This window comes from Homo sapiens, chromosome 11 (assembly GCF_000001405.40).
Source record: "Homo sapiens chromosome 11, GRCh38.p14 Primary Assembly".
Taxonomy (NCBI): Eukaryota; Metazoa; Chordata; class Mammalia; order Primates; family Hominidae; genus Homo; species Homo sapiens.
In genome coordinates, this window is record NC_000011.10 from 90,199,670 (window position 1) to 90,223,152 (window position 23,483).

The window sequence follows — 23,483 nt, forward strand, 5'->3', positions numbered from 1 at the left end:
AAATAAAAAAAAAAAAGTTTACTTACTGTGAGTATACGCATGACATAAATTTTCAGGCTGAGGAATAACTGATTAAAAAAAAAAAAAAAATTGGGAGTTCGGAGAGGGGAAATAACTCAAAGTCCCTTTAAAATATTTGCAAGAACTCTTTAAGTTTCTCTACACTTTGATGGTTGAATAATTTTCTGAAGAAAATTCTTAATTAAATCCTTGCATAAAATATAAATTAGAATAAAGTAAAATCATTACAGTCCTTTGCCAGTATAGTTACACCAAGAAGTTACATCTTCAACCTATAAACATTTGTTGATTCCTAATCATATCTTAATTGTTTATAAATTACTGGCTTAAATTATTACCAAAAAAGTAGGACAAGTCTTAAGACCTTGAAGAATTCCACTAAAAACAGATGGTAAAAATAAAATGTTCTACTTTAGTTAATAGTATTATACAAAGGTTAATTTCTTAAGTTTTATAAATGTTCTATGATAACGTAAGATTTTAACATTAAGATTAATATAAGACATAAAGAACTGTTGTATTTTTACAACTTTTCTGTAAACCTAAAACTAGGTCAAAGAAGTTAAATAAAGGCTCAGTTTATTAGGATCTTACTTCCTTTATACTAGTAAATGTGCTATGAAAGAAAAATAGCATTTTAGGTTTCCCATCTTTAGTTACCAAGTATATATATAATATACCTAACTTTGACTGCTTTGCTATAGTAATTATTTTTAATGCTAAAAAAGACAAAGCAAATTTCTAGAGAAATAAATCAATAAGCACTTTTTATTAACTTTTTTGACAAACCGATAGTAAAACATATGCTACCTAACGATAACTGTGTCCCTTTATGTATGAGTCTAAGAGAAATATTCGGATTTTTATCTGGACAAGAAATTCAAAGGCTCCTTAAGAAGAAAGTAAATACCATGGTCACTAATGTAACCAGACTAAATATAAAAGCTACATATGTATGTGTGTGTGTGTGTGTATAAATCAATGTTTTGATCAATGTAACTAATCTGAGGTTACAATAACTCACTGCTTCAAATAATATTTCAATTACATGTAACAGATTAAGATACTGTTTAGGGGAAAACAGCCTCAGAAGGAAGTATGAACAAAAAGGGATATTAATCATTACCTTTAATCAAACTAATTATCAACCTTTCCCCCAACCCATAAAGACTTCATGTCTCTAAATGGTTCCTAAATCATGGAAGATAACTTGAAAAATTTTAAATACATCTCCAGGTATCAGATGCTTATGTACTCCATGTGGGTCCAACTTTTACTGCCCAGAGTTTCTTGTCATGGTAATGTAACATCATGAAAGTCTGGTTGCCAGATCTTTATGTTTTTATTTGTAACAGAGCTAAACCTTTTAACAATTATATTAACTACAACTAAGTTATTTGCTAATGGTAGTAGAATGATACATATGTTTTATTCACGAAAATAGTACTTCTGCAAATTTTTCTTTGTAAGAATTCCATAAATACCAAGGAAAAGAAAAGACTCAAGGGGTTTGGGAAATAAACCCCTTTTAATTTTAAATCTACATAAGTTTAATTTATTCCCAAACTTTCTAAGTTCTTCCAGAGTTCTGGCCTTCAGAATATTTCCTAATTTTTCTTCTTGAGTTCTGCACTAACTCAAAACCTATCCAAACGATCTAATTCTGTATTACCTATATTTAATATAAAGTACAATATATAGTCAACATTGTATCACTAGAATTGTGAAGCTCTTCATGACTTTAAAAAAAAACTCCAAAACAATTAAGCTATTTTTATTTAACATGTAATAGTCATAAAGCAACTCCATATATTTAGTTTTCTGATATCCTAATGTATTTCCACAAACCTTTTAAGTCTACAATTTTATATAGTTTTCCATCAGGGAGGCAAGATATATATAATTTCTTTTTATATTTAACTAAAGGTTTTAAGAGGGCTTAGTCTCTAAATCAGTAACAATTAGTCATAACACCATACAAACACATTTAAATATTCAGGAAAGAGGTTGTTAAGATTATTGCTTAGTCTTATAAAATGGTGAATTTTAACCAAATTGATACCTCTGTAATCTTATTTATGTTTCCTATAACATCATACTGCTTGGCAAGTAATGTAAGTTTTGACATAATTTAAAAATTCAAGTAGTTGTAAACAAATTCTAATTTGTTAAACAATTCATATATTCCCCTTTAGTTACTATACTACCTCAGAATTAATCCTCCTTAAAAAAGTAATCATCCCACATAGAAAAAACTGCAGAGCTTCATCTCTTCCTTAAATATTTTCAAGTACTGTAAGAACACAAATCCATGAAAAAACTGATTAAAATTTGACATTTCATCTTGCTTTACTAATTATGGAATAATACAAAAACATAAAAAAAATGTTCCTTAATATTTCTTTGCTTAACAGAGAAATACAAAGAAATACTGCAATTATGGTTATGGGCTACTTTCCAGCCTCTTCAAGTATAGGACACAACTATGGTTCCTACCAGTAGGGAGAAATGAATAATCAATCTTACATAACACAAAAGAAAGATGAGAGGCACAAAAAGACAAACTGACTTTGGCTTTTAAGAACCTAATGTTAACCCTGAAATGCCACATTCAGTAACACAACAACAAAACAAAAGATTACAGCAGCAAGCCACCACTTCACACAGTATTAAAAATTCGGAAATAATGTAATAGCCTTCCTTCCATCTCCCACTCAATCTGTTGTGGCATCTTTTTGTTTTTCCTGCTTTTTAGCTGCAGGCAGTTCAAGGCTTGCCCACTGCATCGGTTCAGCTTTTCTCATAGTGATTTCAATCTTTGTTGCAGTCATAGTTACATAACTTCGCTTTACATCAATCACCTGTAACATATCAAAGAGAATTACAGGAAACCTCAGTAGTTTTATTAGTCTCAGAGGAAAACATCAGACTTGCTTATGCCAATAATCCCAAATCCAAGCTTCTAAAGGCCTCTTTTATATCTAGTCTTAAACTTTTTGGTAGGATACACTGTTAAGTTATACATCTATACTTTGCATCAATGTTTACTGAAGAATTGTCTTTTATTCTACAAATGATCTAAGTTATCAGAAAAAAAATTCTTATAAATTTGTAATACTTACACCCCATAATTTCACATTTTGATCAAATTCCTTCTCTCCTTCAAATACAATATGCACATTTAACTGAAAAAGATATACACAGTTAATTGATCTAATTCAAACTGAAGATTTATGCTATCAAACACTGATTATAAAAATAAGACTGACAAAAATGAATTAAGCTATTTTAAGAAACTGCCAATACTGTATTGTTTCATATGAGAAAAGCCACTGACAAAAAAGAATAACTGGCTTCAAGTTTCATATTGAGAACTAAGTACTATATTACTTGATAAATCTACTACAGTATCTCCAGAATGGTTCAGCAGTAAGTCTACTATACAGAAATTTTCATTTAAAATAGTTTCATAGAAGTAATTTAATTTTTTTTAATGGGAGTCATTATAAAATCTTACCCCCAAATCAGCTGAGATATAAACAATACTTTAAAATACAGTAACATAAAGAATGATGTATAGAAAAGAACTTTTACCCAAAATTATAAGATGTACTTACCAATGTGCTATTTGCTTCTACTCGGCTAAGTTCTGGAAGTGAGTTTTTAGCATATACTGAAATGGTAACTTCACCTCCAGTCTGATGCCAGTCATGTCTACATGGAACAACTTTTTTCCCCTGTAATGTAAGAGAAACTCTGTAAGTTAAAAAAGTGCCACATAATTAATTTCTTAAAAAGAGGAATTTGACCCATCTGAGAAAAAACTACCATGCACAACAACTAAGCACTTAATGTTTAAGGGCAAAAAACTTCTATATTTCCCAAGAGGCTTAAACAAGAAAATATATCATGGTACAAAGATTCTTCATAAATTTTATGATTTCAGAACACACTTACTCCTTCCCTTTGTTTTTTTCTTTCAGGGCCATAATATTGATACACAGCTAAAAAGACAATTTAAGAACTCCTACTAAATTTAATCCAATTTAACATTCTGTAACCTACTAAGTACTGTCATCAAAACATTCTTTGAAGACTGAAATGAAAGACATTTGTTTACTGGGATAAATCAGACAACACCTTAACCTCATGCACTAGAAACCTTATTTATTTTCTACAAATCAGAATCTAAGAAAAAAATCTGACCAGTTATTACTTTCTTCCCATTTTAATAAAGAACAAATGATTTTTGGATTTTCTGATTATGAAAATAATCCTTACATACCAGTAGTATACTATACTGCCCTACCAGTATTTTTTTTTATAGAGGCAAATGATGATTTGTTATATAAATGAGAACAATTTAGTTACATAATTCAGGAAACTGAGACACTACTGTTGTAAAAGGTACTATTTTCGTTTTGATAAAATTACATTAACTAAATTTAAATTATATATATCACTCACATTTTTCCCCTTAGCTACTAGCTTAGATACTTAATACTTGATAACTGCATACATTAAAAAACAAGAGAAATTACATCATTTTATCTAGGATTATACTCCCAAACTTAACATAATGGAAAACAACATTTTATTTTTTCAAACTAAAATTTTCAAACTTTTGGACTATAAAAAATACACTCTTTTTATTTAAAAACATTTCTGATAGTTTTGTGGTAGATGAATTTTTATAACTTCAGGGTATTTTTATAATATCCAACCATGTGTTATTAAAAAGCAACTAGGGCCAGGCGCGGTGGCTCACGCCTATAATCCCAGCACTTTTGGAGGTCGAGGCGGGTGGATCACGAGGTCAGGAGTCCAAGACCAGCCTAGCCAAGATGGTGAAAACCTGTCTCTATTAAATATACAAAAAAATTAGCTGGGCGTGGTGGTACGCACCTGTAGTCCCAGCTACTAGGGAGGCTGAGGCAGGATAACTGCTTGAACCCGGGAGGCGGAGGTTGCAGTGAGCCTGCACTGCACGTCTGGGCGACAGAGCGAGACTCTGTCTCAAGAAAAAAAAAAGTGGGGGAGGGGCAGCAACTACAGAAGACTAAAATATTGAAATCTCTAAATTAATTTGAAAATTTAATACATTATAAAATACATTAACAATAGCTAACAGACAAAAACTTATTGAGCAATAAGTTGCTCATCCTCTCACAATTTAATGGGGTTTTGGGAAATTATTTGCATAGCCCCCAAGTCTTTTTAAAAAGCTGTCCAGGGAAGTAGGAAATGATGCTTTTTTCCCCCCTTTTGATAAATATCCCATTAGCAAGCAGAGGCATTCAAAACAATTCCACTGAAACAAGACTGCAATCCTCCTCTCTGGCCACTAGATGGAGTGTTTGTGCATCTGTAAATGATTGAAGTTTTAAGTGGCCAAAAGAATAACAGAGGTCTAAACGTTTAACGTCATCAAATTCATAGAAAAGTAATTTTTAAAAAACAAAAAGTAGGAAGAGGCCATGGAGCTAATTTTATTAATTAAAGAAGACAAAAATTCTTCAATTTTGTCAGGCTTAAGTATTTCACAAAACCTCACATGCTTGCATCAAAACAGACAATGGCTATTTTGCTCAAAAGGCAGTACACTGGCAGCTTGACTCAGATTCATTTTATTTCGTAGTCACATCAAAGCTCTATGGTGCAAAAAAGAAAACTTTTTTTTAAAATCTAAAGACAGAATAATTTCAAATCTTTAAAAAATGACTCAGATGAATATAAACCCAGTGTGCTATTTTTGGAAGAGTTACTTACAGCATCTTTTTTAGTCCACATGTGTTTCCCTTTTGTACAGCCCTCTTGGGCTAAGAATGTATTAAAATCAGAAGTTTTTCTTCTACAACAGCTCCAGTATTTCATCCTTTAAATTATCACAGAAAAACTTCAGAAATAAAATCTCACAACCAATTAAATCCACAAGTATTTTAGGGATAAATCTGATTTTTAATAAGCCAGTAAGTGTACAAACTCTAGCATTTTACAAGTGTCTAAGTTACTAAAAATGAATGTACAGTATATCAGGAAGAATGTGGAAACAGAGTGGAAGATTTTTACACAGTGCTGCATTTCTATAAACTAGAGCATAATACAGAAGAGAGGCTCTCAACTGCAGGATGCGGAAAAGTATGGGTCGTCTTGGGATAATGTTGTCTTAGTGCCCCAGGGCCCAAAATTCTAAATGCCCTGCAATGTGTAGGACAGTCCTTCAAACAAAACATTTAGCCCAAATAGCATCACTTTTAAATACAGAATATGAAGAAAAACAGGCAGTTTATATCACAATGACCACTTAAGAACTGTAACCTTGTTTCTGTTTTCTCATGTATAAACACACAACATACAAACCCCTGTGTTTGTGTAGGCTATTGTGAAGATGTTAATGGCAATGTAAGTAAAATGCCTAATAACACTGCATGGCAAACAATGTTTAAAGACAGAAAGGTTTAACTTTCTAAATTCTACCATAAACTATTTTAATAAGTCATGCATAAGTTACCCCTCATGGAAAATAGGTACTCCAGAATGATATACACAGACTTCTTCTAGACTCTCTAGACCCTGGTATGTCTAAAAAGGAAACAAAGAGAAAAAAAATTAGCTGCGTATCTTACAGTTACATCTCATACATATTTGCAGTATTGGTGACCTCTACGAACTTTGCAAAATACTTAAATGACAATTACCTAGAAAATTCATAAATCCATCCCACGCCATTCTGTTAAAAAATGAAAAATGATTCCCTTTTGGACTTGGTTAAGTTTTAGGTTCCTTTGAGAAAGTCATATTAAGATGCTTTCAGCCTTTTGAGTATGAGATCCCATCCAATCATATTCAAGTACTTACTTAGTTACTAATTTCAAAAACAATGTTGAAACCAAGGGATTAATACTCTCAATAAAAATACAGTTACTGCATGACTTATGTGTACAGTAAACTCCATGTAAGTATTGTCAAATAATATGAGAAATCTAATAAGCAATTCTGGAAGTTCTAGAGTGATGGTGATTTCTTATCCCTATAAAGGGTAAAATGAGCTGCAGACCTATATATATATCCAGGGTTTGTCTGGAAGATCCGGGCCCCATTGCTGCTGTAGATGGAGGCTCTACAGATGAATTCACAAAAAATTATGTTAATAAAACATGGATGTAGCCAGTAGTATATTTTCTATTTTTGTATTTATAGCACTACCTACAAACAGAAAATAAAATTCTGTGTTTATCTTTTATAAATCCAAAGTACAGTATTAGATGTGTATTTCTCCTTAAGATATTTCACAAGAACATAAAACTCAGTATGTTAGCATCTACTAAACTTAATGCTATTGCCCCCACAGTCCATTCTTTTCCCCATATTATTTGATGGCACCGTACAGACTCAGTTTCTCAAAGCAAAATCCATTCGTTCCTCTTCAGCATCTCCTCTCCCTCCACCCATAGGCAGTCTATAATGAAATCTCATCAATTTGACTTGAATATATTAATTTGTTAATCTTCCTCATAAGCTAGCAGATTTTAAGCAATCAGACTATACTAACAGGTTTCTACTATTTCTCAGCCTTCGACTTCTATTTTCTACTAATTATCAAATTACTATCACCCTTTTGTTTAAAGTTCTTTAATTACATCCATGTCACACCTTATACAATAATCAGTTCCAGGTCATTTACATATTTAAATGTGCCTCCATATGAGAAAACACTCACAGCCCTGAAGTAAGCAACGATTTCTTAAATAGAACATGGAAAGCACTAGTCATAAACAAAATGATGGACAAATTGGATTTTGTTAAAAAGCAATTTGATAAAAAGTTTATCAAAGTCGTCATTAAGACAGTGAAAAAGCATAGAATTTCTGATAAGAGTCACAGCTAAAATATATAAAGAATTCTTACAAACTGGTAAGCAAGAGACATTAGAGATAGGTAAAAGATTCTGCACACTTCACAAGAGGATATACAAATGGCTAATAAACATACAAAAAAGCAGTCATCATTAGGGAAGTACAAATCAAAACCATGACAAAACACTATACACACACTAGAATGGTTAAAATACAAAAAAAAAAAAAAAAACAAAAAAAACTCGTATAACAAAATGTTAAGAAACCATAGGACAAGTTGAACTAGCCTCACATACTGCTGGTAGAAACGTAAACAAATACAACCACCTTGGAAAACTATGTGGAAGTATCTGTTAATGCTAAAGATATACAGGTGGGCATACCTAATCCAAAATCTCAAATGCTCCAAAAATCTGTTAACTTTTTGAGAGCCAACATGACAGTTAAAGAAAATGCTCATTGGAGCATTTCAGATTAGGGATGCTGAACTAACTGATAAGTATAATGCACATATGCCAAAATTTAAAAAAAAAAATCCAAAATACTAGAAATGGAAATGTGTATATGTGTCACAAAAGTCATGCACAAGAATGTTCATAATAGGCCGGCTGCGGTGGCTTCACGCCTGTAATTCCAGCACTTTGGGAGGCCGAGGCGGGTGGATCACCTGAGGTTCAGGAGTTTGAGACCAGCCTGGCCAACATGGTGAAACCTTGTCTCTAGTAAAAATACAAAAATTAGTCAGGCGTGGTGGGCACCTGTAAACCCAGCTACTCAGGAGGCTGAAACAGAAGAATCGCTTGAACCCGGGAGGCGGAGGTTGTAGTGAGCCGAGAGCCTACCATTGTACTCCAGGGTGGGTTACAAGAGTGAAACTCCATCTCAAAAAGAATGTTCATAATAGCATTATTAAAAACAATTTTTTAAAATTAAAGGACAATATAAAGTAGAAATTAGTTGTGGCACATTCAAATAATGACATACCTTAAAGAAATAAAAAAACAAAACTAAAGCTACATGCAACAAAGATAAATAAAACAAGCATTATTATGCAGAAGACGACAAAAACAAGTACATATTCTATGGTTATTTTTACATTAAACTCAGAAACAGAAAAAACATATGTTGACTGACAGAAAAACATTTGAGGAAGATAATGAATGAGAAAACACATAAGGAGTGCTCTGCATTGCTGGTGTGTTTAATTTTGTGAAAATCCCTTGAGCTACAAATTTATATTTGTATATCCTTTAACAAACTTCAATGTTATATTTCAATGAAAAAGACTAAAAAATTCTTCAATTTCAATGGCCTCCACACTCTAACGTACAATCTAACTTCCCTGCATCACTAAACCCTTTTAGGATCTGGCCAGGTCTACTTATCTCTATTAATCTCAATTCCACAGCAGCAAATTTGTACCATTACATAATTTTCTCTATACTTGTGCTATTACTTACGCTTGAAATACCCTTTCTCTGTTTTCCCTGTCATTCACTTTTCAAAACACATCTGATACCTTCTCCTTGATCTTCCTCTATTACCCTACCATTTGCACTGCCTTCCCCAATCCAGTAATTACTAATTCCCTTTTATCTACTACTTCTACCTCATATACATGTAAATACAATTGTATCTCCATTCCTTAAGTGATCTAAAATTTAACATGAGGAAAAAGTATAAACCTGCCCCCACCCCATTTTCACCTTGTTGGTTAATGGTGTCACCAATCACCCAGATGCTTGAATTCCCTTCACATCGAATCCATTAGCAAATCCTGCTAATACAGGCAGATGCTCCTTTGCTTACAATGTGGTTATAGCCTGATAATACCATTGTTAAGTCAAAAAAATCTTAAGTTACACCATGGTAAGTTCGGAACCATCTGTACTTTCTGTACTTTCAAATTCTATCATTCATTCTACACGCACTGTTCTAAGGATTCAAGATACAACAAAGAAAAAAAATCCCTATCCTCACAACTTTTACTCAGCATGGGGGTTAGATGGTATAGCTCAGAAGTAAAATAAGTATACAAAATAAGTAATATAAAGTGATTAAGAGCGATGGAGAAAAAAGGAGAGGGAGAAGAAATGTTGGAGGATATGCAAGTTTTATATCAAGTAGCAAGAGGCAGGAAAATGGCTTACTGGTATGTTTGACCGCATCCCACATTTAATCACTTCTCAACAAACTACTCTCCAATCCCACTGTCTGGTCTTCCACAATAGCATCCTAGCTGGTTTCTCTTCTTCCAATTCCACTCCTGCTGCATCACCATGTATTTACCATTCACCAGTCACAGAATCTTTCTAAAACCCTTCCCTAAAGCAAGTAATAGCTTCTCCTAATACTTAGAATAAAGCCCAAATACCTCATCATGGCTTAAAAGAACCACCATAATTCTGTCTACCTGTCTTACCTGCTACCCTTGCCCAAGCTCCACAGACCTTGTTATTCCTTGAATAGCCAAGTTCTAAAGCCTCTGCTCATGTTACTGCATCCAGAACACTCTTCACCCAGGTTTACATAATCCATCCAGTGCAACATGAAGATTTCTGATTTAGTGTTACTATGTCAAGAAGGGCTTTGCTGATAAGCACTCCTTAGTATGTTTTATTTTCTTCCTATCATCCTGATTTTGTAATATCTAACTACCTATTTGTTGCTCTTCTCCCCATTCTAGAATATCAGCTCCATAAGAAAAGAAATGTTTGCTTTATTTGATACTATGTCTCCAGCCCATAAAATGTCTGGCACATAATAAGTGCTCAGTAAATGTTAAGTGAATTGGAATTACTTATTTTCATTATTCTACTGGACATGATGCTACTCAGAGTCTCTTATCCATGATTGTAGCCCTAGTCCCCAGCATAATGTTCAATATATAATATGCATGCAAATGTTTGTTGAATTGAGTCAGCAAACTGCACTTTCCTCAAAATTAAAATTTTACTTCATAACACATCACAAATCTTGTGATATATACCTTTGAACACCCTCCATTCTTACATGAGGTCCCAATCTTAATTTCATCATTGTCTTCTTCTGTAACAAAGAAAAAAAAATCAAATTAAAAAGTTAAAATAGAACTTCGCTGTGGCATCATTCTTAAAAACTAGGTTTTTCCAGAAAACAATACTTTTTAGAAAACGACTGTGACTAGGATTTGCTTATATCCCCAAATTGATATATGACACATTTCTTCTTCTTTTGAGGACCTGGTGTCTTCAACAATGCAGGACACAATTTTTTCCATAACAAAATGTTATATCCAGTATCTTAACTTTGTAAAATAAATCATGAAAGGGTGTTTTCCTCCCATGGTACCAGGTATAAAGTCAGAGAATAGTGAATATATTTTGTATAATGTACAAGAAAACATTTTAAAATATCAAAGAAATTTAGCTGATTCTTAAAAAAATAATGAACCATAAAAGAAAAAAAATTTAATATAGGTTCTCGTTTTGAATAAAGACATATGGAATTAACCTATTAGGTTCTGAAGTATTTGTAGTTTATCATATCTGACATTTAGAAGAAAAAGTTTCTTAACTACAATGTGCGACTTTTCCCTATTTATATGCAGTAAACTACTATTCTCTCTTTTGGATAACTGCTTAACTGTACCAGAAAATAATTAACAATAAAACAAAATAAAATCTTACCTTTCTTATTTTCTTCATTCCCTGATGACAGTTTAAGTTTATCAAGTGCTTGTTTTAGGGAGGCAGATATTTTTAATTCCAAATTTGTCATTGGTTCATCTGGGCTGGAGAATTTTGAAACCTTATTACCATTATTAATATACCAAAATATTTCTTTGTACTCCAAATTAATAACCTTAAAAGCTTTCTGAGAAGCCAAATGCTTTGTGTATCAAATGATTCCCATTAAAAGGTTAAAAGGTATTTTATAAATAATTGTTACAATGTATCTACATTCTGTCTTAACAGAAAAGCTCCTTATATTAGAATAGTAAGTCTCAAATAATCACGCTATTGTCAGCATATTTAAGTATTAATCAGTTGCACTAACGAGAAAGGAATAAAGACTAGGAATCCAAGGTTTTCAAGATGAGTAATGCTGAGGAAGGGACCATAATGTACTTTTACATCCCATGCCCAAGCTCAATGCTGAGCACATAATAAACATGAAATATAAGTAAGTTCTAAGTGAATCCATACTCACTTCTACCAGTGGAGATAATTTATGTGGACACTGGCATATGGATCTGTAAATTCAGATACGATCGTATTGCAAGGCAATTTCAGTAGGGTTTAAAAAACAACATCTTCTAACATTTCATAATGGCTAAGTGTTGTATACATAATTTAAGTCCACTCAATAAATAAGTATTAAACATATTAATAAACACAGCAATAAAAATAAAAATCGTAGGCTATTCATTCTATATCCTCGATGAAAAAACTGACAAAAGAGGCATTTTAAAAGTACATAGGCAAGGCATGGTCGCTTATGCCCATAATCCCAACACTTTGGGAGGCTGAGGCAAGAGGACTGCTTGAAGCCTGGGCAACAAAGTGGAACCCTGTCTCCGCAAAATAATAAAAAATATTAGTCGGTCACTGATATGGTTTCCCTGTGTCACCAACCAAATCTCATCTTGAATTCTAGCTCCCCTAATCTCCACATGGTGTGTGACAGACCTAGTGGGAGGTAACTGGATCATGGGGATGCCTTTTTCCCATGCTGTTCTCATGATAGTGAATAAGTCTCAGAAGTTCTGATGGTTTTTTTCTTGCCTGCCACCATGTAAAACATTCCTTTATTACTCGCTCTACCTTCTGCCATGATTGTGAGGCCTCCCCAGCCATATGGAACTGTGAGTTCATTAAACCTCTTTTTCTTTATAAATCACTTAGTCTCGGGTGTTTCTTCGTAACTGTGAAAATGGACTAATACAGTCATAGTAGCATACACCTATAGTTCCGGGGAGGGTTAGGGAGGAGGATGGCTTGAGCCCAGGAGTTAAAGGCTGCAGTGAGCTATAATGCCACTGCATTACAGCCTGGGTAAGAGAGGGACTTTTCTTCTTAAAAAAAAGAAAAGTATGTAAAAACTGATATCCTCATAATTGTTATAATACCACCAAATGAATTTAGGATAAAATATTTAGTTTTTCTCATCTCACTGCCTTTGTCCTTTTTTTTCAAAAAGTCAATCTCAAGATCCTCCTGCCTCAGCCTGAGTAGCTGCAACTACATGAGCACACCACCAAACCCAGCTAATTTATTTTTTTTGGAGAGACAGGATCTCTTTCAGATTGGTTCTCAAACTCCTAGGCTCAAAGGATCCTCCCTCCTAGGCTTCTCAAAGTGCTGGATTATGGGCTTGAGCCACAGTGCCTGGCCTCTCACTGCCCTTTAAGTAAAATAACAGCCCATCATTTAAAGAAAAAATTAACTCATACTATTATAGTACAGACTGTATTATATTACTAAAGAGATTAAGAATGAGCCATGACTGAAGTTTTGTCTTTTCCCAATTATTTTTCTAACTGCTAAACTGGCCAAAGCATTCAATGGTCTCCTCTAACTATGAAGATGGAGAGAGAATAAAATCATCCTGAGTAGTTTCCTTAGCAATAATCTGTACTCAGAGTGCTAATGAACAAATAAACATCTAAAGTCTCTTAGGGTTCTTATCTTGGTTCTATATTATTCAATACTCTATAAATTTATTTAAGTAGGATCAAAGGAGAATAAAGGGAAAATCATGAGTTCATAGCATGAATAAAAATTACAATAAGTGCCTACTTGCAGCCAAAAAAAAAAAAAAAAATCACCTTTTTTTAAGTCCTGTAGTTTGCTTCTAAAACAATTTAGTACTCAAGTGTAGCACGAAGAAGACCTGGTTCAACAAAGGTACTCAATATACATGTGTGGGAATACAGAGTCTGGTTATCAGAAGGCAAGTATGAAGAATCTGTACAACTCTATTGCACAATGAGCAAACGCTTTTTTAAGACTACTTTCACAAATATGTCATCTAAATCAAATGCATTAAAAATTGACCAGTAGTAATGAGATTAACGGTAGTTTTCAGGCATCTGAAAGTAAAGATGGATGATTAGGCCTCTGCATTATTTTCTACTTCAAACTCATGCCATGAAAAGGAAAACTGCTTCAAAGAATTTTACCATGCCACAGTGAAAAAGATGCACTCTAAGGCACAAGAAAAATGTGACTTCCCTACCCTGATGATACATGTCCCTGTAATTATGACAGTACAATATGCAAATCTGTTATGTAGTTATATTGTGTACATGCTCTCAAGTTGAAGAGAAATAAAAATTTAAGGCAGATTTAAGGGAGAAACCAAATGGTTCAAAGCTTGGTGGCCTACATAGTAGCTACAAATGGTATCATGCTAAATCATAAAGGAAAGTACCATGCACAAGTGCTACTATTCAAGTGTGACAAAAATATGTAACTGTATAAAGTATACCTTGGTCTTTTTATTGCTTCTACTGGCTTAGGGGCTTGAATGATGTGTTCCTGAAATTTGGGTTTTAATTCACATAGCTCCTTCTTCTCAGTAGTCTTGACTTCAGGTTTGACTGGCTCAGGTGGCTTCTCACTATTATGTCTACCTTTTGTACAGCCCTGTTAGTGAAAGATAATTCATTAAGAGCTATCTATTTTACATTTCATGATAGAAATATTATCTTTTCAGTTCTTTATTGATAGTGATTCTATTTCATGTTTTCTCCAGTTTCAATACATTGATTTTAAGAAATTAAAAACAGAACTCCAAATTTGCCATATTTGCTGAATCTCTGAATGACGGCTTTTTTAAAAAGTCTTTGAATTACACTTCATAAACATCTACTTATTCTATTAAAAATATGGCATAAACCTCTTGTTTACAGAAGAATTCTGGAGAATCTCACAAAGAACTGTAAAAAATAGTTATACAGAAAAATCTGTTACTCGAAAGGCCTCAATTTGAGACCTAGTTCTCAACATACTTATTAGTTATATGACCTTAAGCAAGATAATCTTTTTAAACCTCCATCTCCTCATTTGTAAAATGGAGGTAATGTCAGGTAAGATATTTTCTGAGAGAGTTAAATAATAAAATGCCTGGCACATTTGGCAGGTGATAACATTCAACAAACGTTAGCTACTTTTCTACTACATTCTACTGAATTATACATACTCTTTAACACCTCTGAAATGATACAATCAATAGCATTATCAGTTTGTTAGTAGCTTTAGTTTTCTTAGTGGTATATAAAGTGGTTTTATATAAAAGTGGTATGTAAAATATTTCAACAGCATCTTAGATAAAACTTTATCGTTCCTAACTGAAAAGGCTTTAAATTGTTGCTTACCACTTTCTCCTTGATGTTCTTTCAACATAACAGAAAGAACAAACCTAAAATGATAAGCAGGTAACTGATACCTTAAAACGTTAATTTCCAAAACAGATTCTTTATTTTACAAGCTGTGGAAGGGAGATGAGCTGCTTTTTGAAAGGTGTTATCTGCAAGTTGATGAAGACCAATCAATCTATATCAGAAATCAGACTCCTCAAATCTGAAGCTTTCTATAACATGTATTTTTAGGAAGATAATCTAGAAAAAATAATTAGTACTTACTACAATGCTTAAGAAATCAGAAAAATCAGTTGTTCTTCTCTTACAGCAAGACCAACCCTATGAAAAACAAGAGAAGGAAACTAAAAACTCTATTTGCATGAGAAACACGACCCACTAAAACACTCTACTTGCACTTATCTACTTGAATCCTGCAGTAACTTGCGTATAGAGTGCAAAATTTCAGTGTTGCATATAATTCACCTAATCAAGTAAAATGAATATTAATCTTTGATTTTTAAAAAGCCAATTAACCAATGTTAAAGTGATTTGTGCTATGCCCTATCATCAAGGGAAGCACCTTTATAAAACAAAAACTGTTTCTCTTTTCAACAATCGTGTCTGCTTTTTTTTTAGAAGAAAAACATGTTATAATTCCTAAAACTATCATATTTAAAGAATATTCAAAATAAGTATAGGTATTTTACTTTTAAAATCTATTAAGTTAAAGATAGTAACTATCTTTAGTTAATTTTAATTTCACAATAAGCATTCTATTTTCAGAACAACAAAGATTAATTAACACAGCAGCTAAAGCACTATTAAGCCTTTGAAGGTGATCTTTTCAGTGAGAAGCATAAAGACAGAGAAACTATTAGTATTTGTGATTTTTGAACAAACTATCAAGTAGTTTACCAAAAAATGGCTTTAATAATTATCTCTAAATTCCAATGTTTATAGAGCATAGGGAAACAAAAATGCAAAATCTCAAAACTTGGAACTTCAGATTAAGATTTGGGACTAAATTCAGATTAAGATGCAACTTTGCACACATCCGCCTGGACCTCGCTGATTTTCAAAAGACTGCATAAAAATATGGTAGTGATTTTTCTCATTATATGCACCTGTAGGTTCTTTTTCTTTAAAGGTAATTTCAAATATCCTATAATTCAAATTTTCCTTTAATTTGAAATTTAATTATCTTTTACTCCGAATTGAGATGTAGATCAATTACTACAACCTTAAATATAGGGTTTAAATAGCATCAATAATATAGTCAACAGAAAAGTTATTCTATAAGAGAAAAAGTTTTACTGTCTTAATCATGTACTAAATTATGTCAGATACTGTGATACACACATGTAAAATACAATACAGGCCAGCTGTTCCCAAATGCCAATCTGGATTCTATGCTAGTCTTCAGTACAATGAGAAAAGGAAAGATAAATTTAAGTTATGTGAATATAAGGTTGCTAGTTGTCTTTTTTCAGCAAGATTGTCCTTTTCTCTGAATATGCCCCTTCTAATATTAAAATAGTATTTCTTTTGTCAATGCAATGTTTAACTTCTTACTTGGTCAACTAGTATCCCTGTATTGATGTATACGCATTTTGTCTGAAATCTTCTGGACTGTGAAATCCAATAATCTTGGAAAGTCTAGGACTTTAAGAAATGGTTATAAAATAGAGACCACAATAAACACTACAACTGCAAAAGAGAGAGAAGCAAAAATACTTCAAAGTGAATTCATTAAGACTTGGAGTGATTAACAATGCGGTAAGAGAAAAAACGGGCAATGGACCAAATGATCAGAAAGTCAGTAGTATCATTACTAGGAGCAGTAAAGTTGAGAGGCAGACTACTTTTGGAATAAACGGTACACACTAGAAACTGGTTTGATGTTGCCAATGAGACACATAAATAGAAATATGTTGTAAGAGCCATCGGCGTAGAGGTGACATTTGAGAAAACCAATGAATGAACTGAATGAGAGAAAACAGCCAAAGGTTACCTTTAAGAGCTAAGAGGAAAACAGCATAGGGAAAAAAAGAAAAAGACACAGTAAAACAAAAATATCAGAAGAAATGGCAGTCTAGGAAAAATAAAATTCCACAAAAAGAAAAATAAACATTTCCACAGCACCACAGTTTCCACCACAACAAAGATTTGTAAAAACTAAAAAAATGTATGGAGGAATAAGGTCTCAACTTGCCCTACTGAATGTCTTCTCTGTTTTCCTCACTCAGAACTAACCAGACTAATACATCTTTTGTTAGATTTGGTGGTGTTAACAGTGAAGTGCCAAAACAGTCTAACTACTCTTTGGAAGGTATAATTAGACATTTAAAGGGCACCAACAATATTTAAACATGTTAAGACTGCTTATGTTCCTGAGAACCAAAGAAGTAGAACCTAAAACCATGGCAGCCCTACCACAGCATCATCTTTTGAGATATACAAAGGAAACTCTTTAAATGTATCATACTATCATGAATTTTAAAAAGATGACCAGCAAAAACCTAGTCAAACAACATTCCACCAATTCTCCAGAACATCCAAGAAGTATAGCTGGAAAACTCACAGGTCTGTCCCGAGATTGGCACTAAATGTTTATAAGAATCTTTTCTAAAATTCAGAGCTGTTATTAGCCAGTAGTGACAGACTGAGATTCAATACAACCACTCTATTTTCCCTCAAAATTAGAAAAGTGAAGAAATGGGTGTAGAAAATGAAAATTAAGACCAGGCATGGTAATCCCAGCACTTTGGGAGGCTGAGGCAGGTGGATCATCTGAGGTCAGGAGTTCGAGACCAGCCTGACCAATATGATGAAACCCTGTCTCCACTAAAAATACAAAAATTAGCTGGGCATGGTGGCAGGTGCCTGTAATCCCGGCTCCTCAGGAGGCTGAGGCAGAATCGCTTGAACCCAGGAGGCGGACGTTGCAGTGAGCTGAGATCGCACCACTGCACTCCACCTGGGCAACACAGTGAAACTCCATCTCAAAAAAAAAAAAAAAAACCCAGAATTAAAATACAATTTTATAACTGGAAAAGACCTTAAGATCATCATCTACTGTCTTTTCTTTGTCTTTAGTGGAGTATACGCTTAAAGCACCTCCCCCGCAAAGGTCATTAAGAAGAAAGTCACTAGCTGAGAAAAAAAGATGAGAAAATAAAGATTTAGTATTACATCTCTCAATTTACTACACAGATATGAAAAAAATGAAAATATAGTTCCTACCTTTAATGCATCGTGAAAGACCGGAACACCTGGGTGGTATGTGCAAGCATCTGGAGAAAACAGAGAAAAAAAAAAAAGTACCACTCTTTATAATGAAGAAAAATATATACATGATCATCTCCTTAAGGTGTTAACCTTTAATCCTTTTTCCAAACGCAAGTACCTTAAAAAGGTACAAATGATTGAGTTTGACGTGCAGCACAAAGTGTACTATATTAAAATAGTATTAAAAATTCTAATTCAAGCATATGATGACTAAGGACAAAAATACAGAATTGTTTATGTATAACAATTATATTTTATATTCCCCTAATCTTGGTAGTAAAATTTGTTTAGTACCAAAACTTCAAACCCCCAAATTTTGACCATCATTTTTCAAACCTGCTTTTACAAATGTACTATCAAACTTGAAGTATTCTTATGTGCATTCATCCATAAAGGTTTCACAAGAGATTCCCTTAAAGACATTTTGTAATAACAGGCTCAACATTTTAAATACTGTAAAGATTTTTTGCAGTATCTAATTGGTAATTTAACTTTCCTAGACACAGTCATTCCTAGGTACAAACCTCACTAAAAAGAAGACTAGGGTGCCTCTGCCTGGCCCCTGCCCTGTTTGGGAAGTGAGGAGCTCCTCTGCCCTGCCCCCGCCCAGTCTGGGAACTGAGGAGTGCCTCTGCCTGGCGGCAGCCCTGTCTGGAAAGTGAGGAGCACCTCTGCCTGGCCACTGTGCAACCTTCCAAGTGTGAAGTGACAGCCTTGTGTGTGATCTTTCTGCCTTCCCCAAGTGTGCATTTTCAACATTAAAGTTTACTTTTTAATTAAAAAAAAAAAAAAAAATAGAAGTCTAGGTGGGCCTGGTGGCTCATGCCTGTAATCCCAGCACTTTGGGAGGCTGAGGTAGGCAGATCACCTGAGGTCAGGAGTACGAGACCAGCCTAACCAACATGGTGAAACCCCGTGTCTACTAAAAATACAAAAATTAGCCGGGCGTGGTAGTGCATGCCTGTAGTCTCAGCTACTCAGGATCTTGACAGGAGAATCGCTTGAACTTGGGAAGCAGAGTTTGCAGTGAGTCAAGATCATGCCACCGCACTACAGCCTAGGTGACAGAGCAAGACTCCATCTTAAAAAAAACAAACAAAAAAAACTCTCAAGTTCTACAGCCTATTTTCTAGATTCTCACTGGGTGTTATTCTATACTTCCCTCCCCACTACACCATCAATCTTTACTTCTCTTATGTAAATGGGTTTATTACAATTTGTGTTGGGAACAGGCCCCCAAATCTGGCCATAAACTGGCCCCAAAACTGGCCATCAACAAAATCTCTGCAGCACTGTGACATGCTCGTGACGGCTTTGATGCCCAGGCTAGAAGGTTGTGAGTCTACCTGAATGAGGGCAAGGAACAACTGTCCCACCCAGGGCGGAAAAACACTTAAGGCATTCTTAAACCACAAACAATAGCATGAGCCATATGTGCCTTAAGGACATGTTCATGCTGCAGATAACTAGCCAGAGCCCATCCCTTTATTTCCCGTAAGGAATACTTTTAGTAAATCTCCATTGGAGGCTCTCAGCTCTAAGGCTGTGAGACCCCTGATTTCCCACTCCTTACTATATATTTCTGTGTGTGTGTCTTTAATTCCTCTAGCACCACCGGGTTAGGGTCTCCACGACCAAGCTGCTCTCAGCAATTTGCAAGATGGAGTACTATATTTTTAAAAATCAGGTAACAGTCAGCTTCATCCCTCTGCAATCTGCTTAAAAGACTATCTTTCAACCTTTCAAGTCTATTTAGCTTTCAATGCTCTACAACAACCTTGTCCAACATGCCGCCCCAGACAACTCTGAATGTAGCCCAACACAAATTTCGTAAACTGTCTTAAAACATTATGAATTTTGTTTTTGTTTTCTTTTAAGCTCATCAGCTATCATTAGTGTTAGTGTATTTCATATGTGACCCAATTATTCTTCTTCCAATGTGGCCCAGATAATTCCTCTTCTTCCAATGTCGCACAGGGAAGCCAAAAGATTGAACACCCTTGCTCTATCACCTGATTCCTGGTGTTGCCTCAAAATTTACTACTGGTGCTCACAGAAATCTCCCTACCCCGTTACTAGCCAGTATTGCTTCCTTAGTAACCATGTGCTGCATAGATACTAGCTAATGTAGAAAGTGTTAGGTATCTTCCTGATACAGTAAGTAAATCCGTGGGATCAGAAAGATGTTATTAATTAAGGGTAGTTGTGGAATTAAGGGCTGAAAAAGGAGGTTGGAAGTAGAAATGGGTATGCAGAAGGACATGAAGTTGAGAGGGGAATGGAAGTAGAGAATAGATCCAGTATTTTCAAACACCAAATTTAAAGTAGTCAGAAACATAAACGCAATGTATAACAGAGTCAGAGGCATAAAATGTCACAATAAGTCAATTTTGGCAGCATGGCAGCAGGAATGAGTCAGATCTGAACCATACAACTAACATGAACACAATTAGAAAGCCACTGCTTTCAAAAACAAGAAGTAACAAGCAAATGGACATTCTTCATTCTTTCTTTAATATCCATCCTTTCTTTATCAGTTTTAAGAGTTTTGGCAAAATTAATATTTTATGGGTGAGAAGCTACAAGACAGTAGCAGTGGTTAAGTGTCCAGGGCTTCTAACATTGGGTCTGACCCTGGCTAAATTTCTCACTGAGCTACTCGCTAGTAGTTCCTTCAGTTTTCCTCGTATACGTCGATTAAAAAAAATACCGTTTGTGAAGCTGTGTTTATTCTAGAATAAGTGTTTAACATATGTAAGTTACCAACTGTGTCTCCCTTAAACACCCTTTAACTTCAGTTACAAGTTAAAACGTTCTATCAGCTTAAAAGGGAGTCTAATTTCTGTCTCTAGGGGGAAAAAAAAATCATGAGACTATAAGTCAACGAGCACGGTAATTATGCCACAGCACCGAGAAAAAAAGCATTTAGTGTAGATTAAGAAATATTTAAAGATGACAGATCCAACATCTGGCTTACGCAAAATGGAACTTGCTTGTGTATTTACCTCTTTTAACTTATTTCTGTCAACTGTACAAGGTCAAACCTCTTCCTAAAAAACCTCCTAACCAACCTTTCTATTTAGTTCTTGTCTCCTACTCCGTATCTCCATTTTCTTCTCCTTCCATTCACTCAATCAGTTTACTTGAAAAATGTATTCTAAGTCTCTAAAAAAACCGTCATTTCGCTAAAGTAAATATACTTATTGGAATTTCTCTGCTGTAACTAGTACTGCTGACCACCCAAGTTTTGAGACGGTTTTCCTGGTCGCTTTCTGTTTCCTAGGCACTGCACCAATTCACACATGGATACAGACTTCCAACAAATGACTATCGCCCCTGAACTTTATTGTCTCATAAGCAAAGCGTCAGTCTTTCCCCTGTATTCTATATTAAAGTAGAATATCTGCAGACATAAGTGCAATTAATGTTTTACATAGGCTGCCAACACCAAAGGGCTTTAAAATCGTTTCTCGATTTTGTCATCGACTGAAATCTCACAATTTTCCTCATGAGTAGCATCATATTTGCATCATAAAAATGTCAGTGGCGGTAACTTGAGTATTGCATAGGTTGGATTTTCCTTTTCCTTAAAACTCTGTATCAATGGTCTTATTTTAAATAACGCTATCAATTTACCTGTGTGCCAAAAATAAGTATTTCAAACATCTCAGAGGTGAAGAGTTCAAAAGGCATCAGTTTTCATCTCCTCCACAATAATGAAGGATGTTATTAATACAACCTCATTGAACTGAGCTTCTCTATCAAATGGGTCTAATTAACATTACATGCGTCCCAGGGTGGTTATGAAGATTAAATAAGATAAAGCAATAATGGCTGGCATGCAGAAAATATAAACTAAATGCTAGTTCAATCTGAAAACGTGTTGTCACTTCTCACGATACGCAAGGAATCATCTCACTTCTTTGTCAATCAAAATTTCAATTCACTGATCATTTCCCGTCCTTCACCTAATAGTCATTTTCGCTTTGGATCCTTAACTCGACATCTAGGTGCTGTAGATGACATTCACTCATTTTATACGGGAGTAGGCATGGTAGTAAAACGTGGAGGCCACAAGAAGAACAAGCAACAAATGCCGCTAGTAATAAAAAGATAACTAACGTACCACCAGGATGAACCTATCAAAACAGCGTGAAGATACAGAGTAATGTCCCTTACCAAGAACACTTGTAAGAGGTTTGTAACAGCGGATCGACTGAACACAAACTTCTACAAGGCAGAGCTTACATGCTAGGACAACCCGCTGCTCATCCCGGCCACCTCTCCCTCTCGCGCAGGCAATCACAGCCATCACTACTTCGGGAACTACAAAGCAAGCTCACCAGTACCTCGTTAATTTTTGCTTCCCCAGAGACTGGAGGGCCAGAGGAGAAACGTGTTCGTTCTAAATTCCAGGCGACTTAAAAGGAGTGCGGGGACGACGGGGGAAACACGTGGATCCATGGGAGCGTCTCTCTCCGCAGTGGCAGAGGACAGTCAGGCGCCGGGGCCGGGCGCTCGCCAAGGGAACGCGGCGCAACAGAGGGGCGGCCGGCGGGCTGCGCGGGCAGCCAAGGGAGGCCCAGGAGGGGCATGGACCTGGGGCCGCGCGAGGACGGCTGCAGGAGATCCGCGGACACCCTCCGGCCCAAAGGGCCTCCCCTGCTGATGAGGTGGAGGGGAGGGAGGGCTGGCGGCGCGTTCCTCTTACCGTCGGAATTGGTCTCAGGATCGAAGCGCTGACCGCAGCCCCGGTTGTAGCACAGCAAGGCCATTTTCTTTTCCCACCGTCACAGGCAAGGCCCAAACACCGGGAACGGCAAGAGGATGCGTTTGCCACTCCCGTGTCGCTAGCACCGGTCTGACGACTGAGGCGGCTACCGGCTTCCGGAAACGATCCGTTGCGTTTCAGGAACCTTCGCGAATTTTCCGGTCGCGCAGGCGCAGAGGAGAAGGGACGAGGCGGAGGTAGC

The 23,483-nt window shown here is 35.2% G+C and overlaps 1 protein-coding gene across 5 annotated transcripts; it reads right to left on the minus strand.

Moving 5' to 3' along the window:
• Window positions 1-759: 759 nt before the first annotated feature.
• On the minus strand, window positions 760-23,380 carry CHORDC1 (cysteine and histidine rich domain containing 1). Of its 5 annotated transcripts, none has more exons than NM_012124.3 (11): window positions 23,222-23,380; window positions 18,466-18,515; window positions 15,505-15,561; window positions 14,349-14,506; window positions 11,546-11,649; window positions 10,867-10,925; window positions 6,533-6,603; window positions 5,791-5,896; window positions 3,639-3,758; window positions 3,144-3,206; window positions 760-2,882 (listed from the first exon to the last, which is right to left on the minus strand). In NM_012124.3, the coding sequence occupies exons 1-11, from the start codon at window positions 23,283-23,285 to the stop codon at window positions 2,736-2,738; spliced, it is 999 nt and encodes a 332-aa protein (NP_036256.2). In that variant the 5' UTR covers window positions 23,286-23,380; the 3' UTR covers window positions 760-2,735. The 5 variants fall into 5 exon arrangements, with proteins under 5 accessions (NP_036256.2, XP_016873030.1, NP_001137545.1 ...); XM_017017541.3 differs by lacking the exon at window positions 23,222-23,380 and adding an exon at window positions 22,860-23,030; NM_001144073.2 differs by lacking the exon at window positions 15,505-15,561.
• Between the last annotated feature and the right edge of the window lie 103 nt (window positions 23,381-23,483).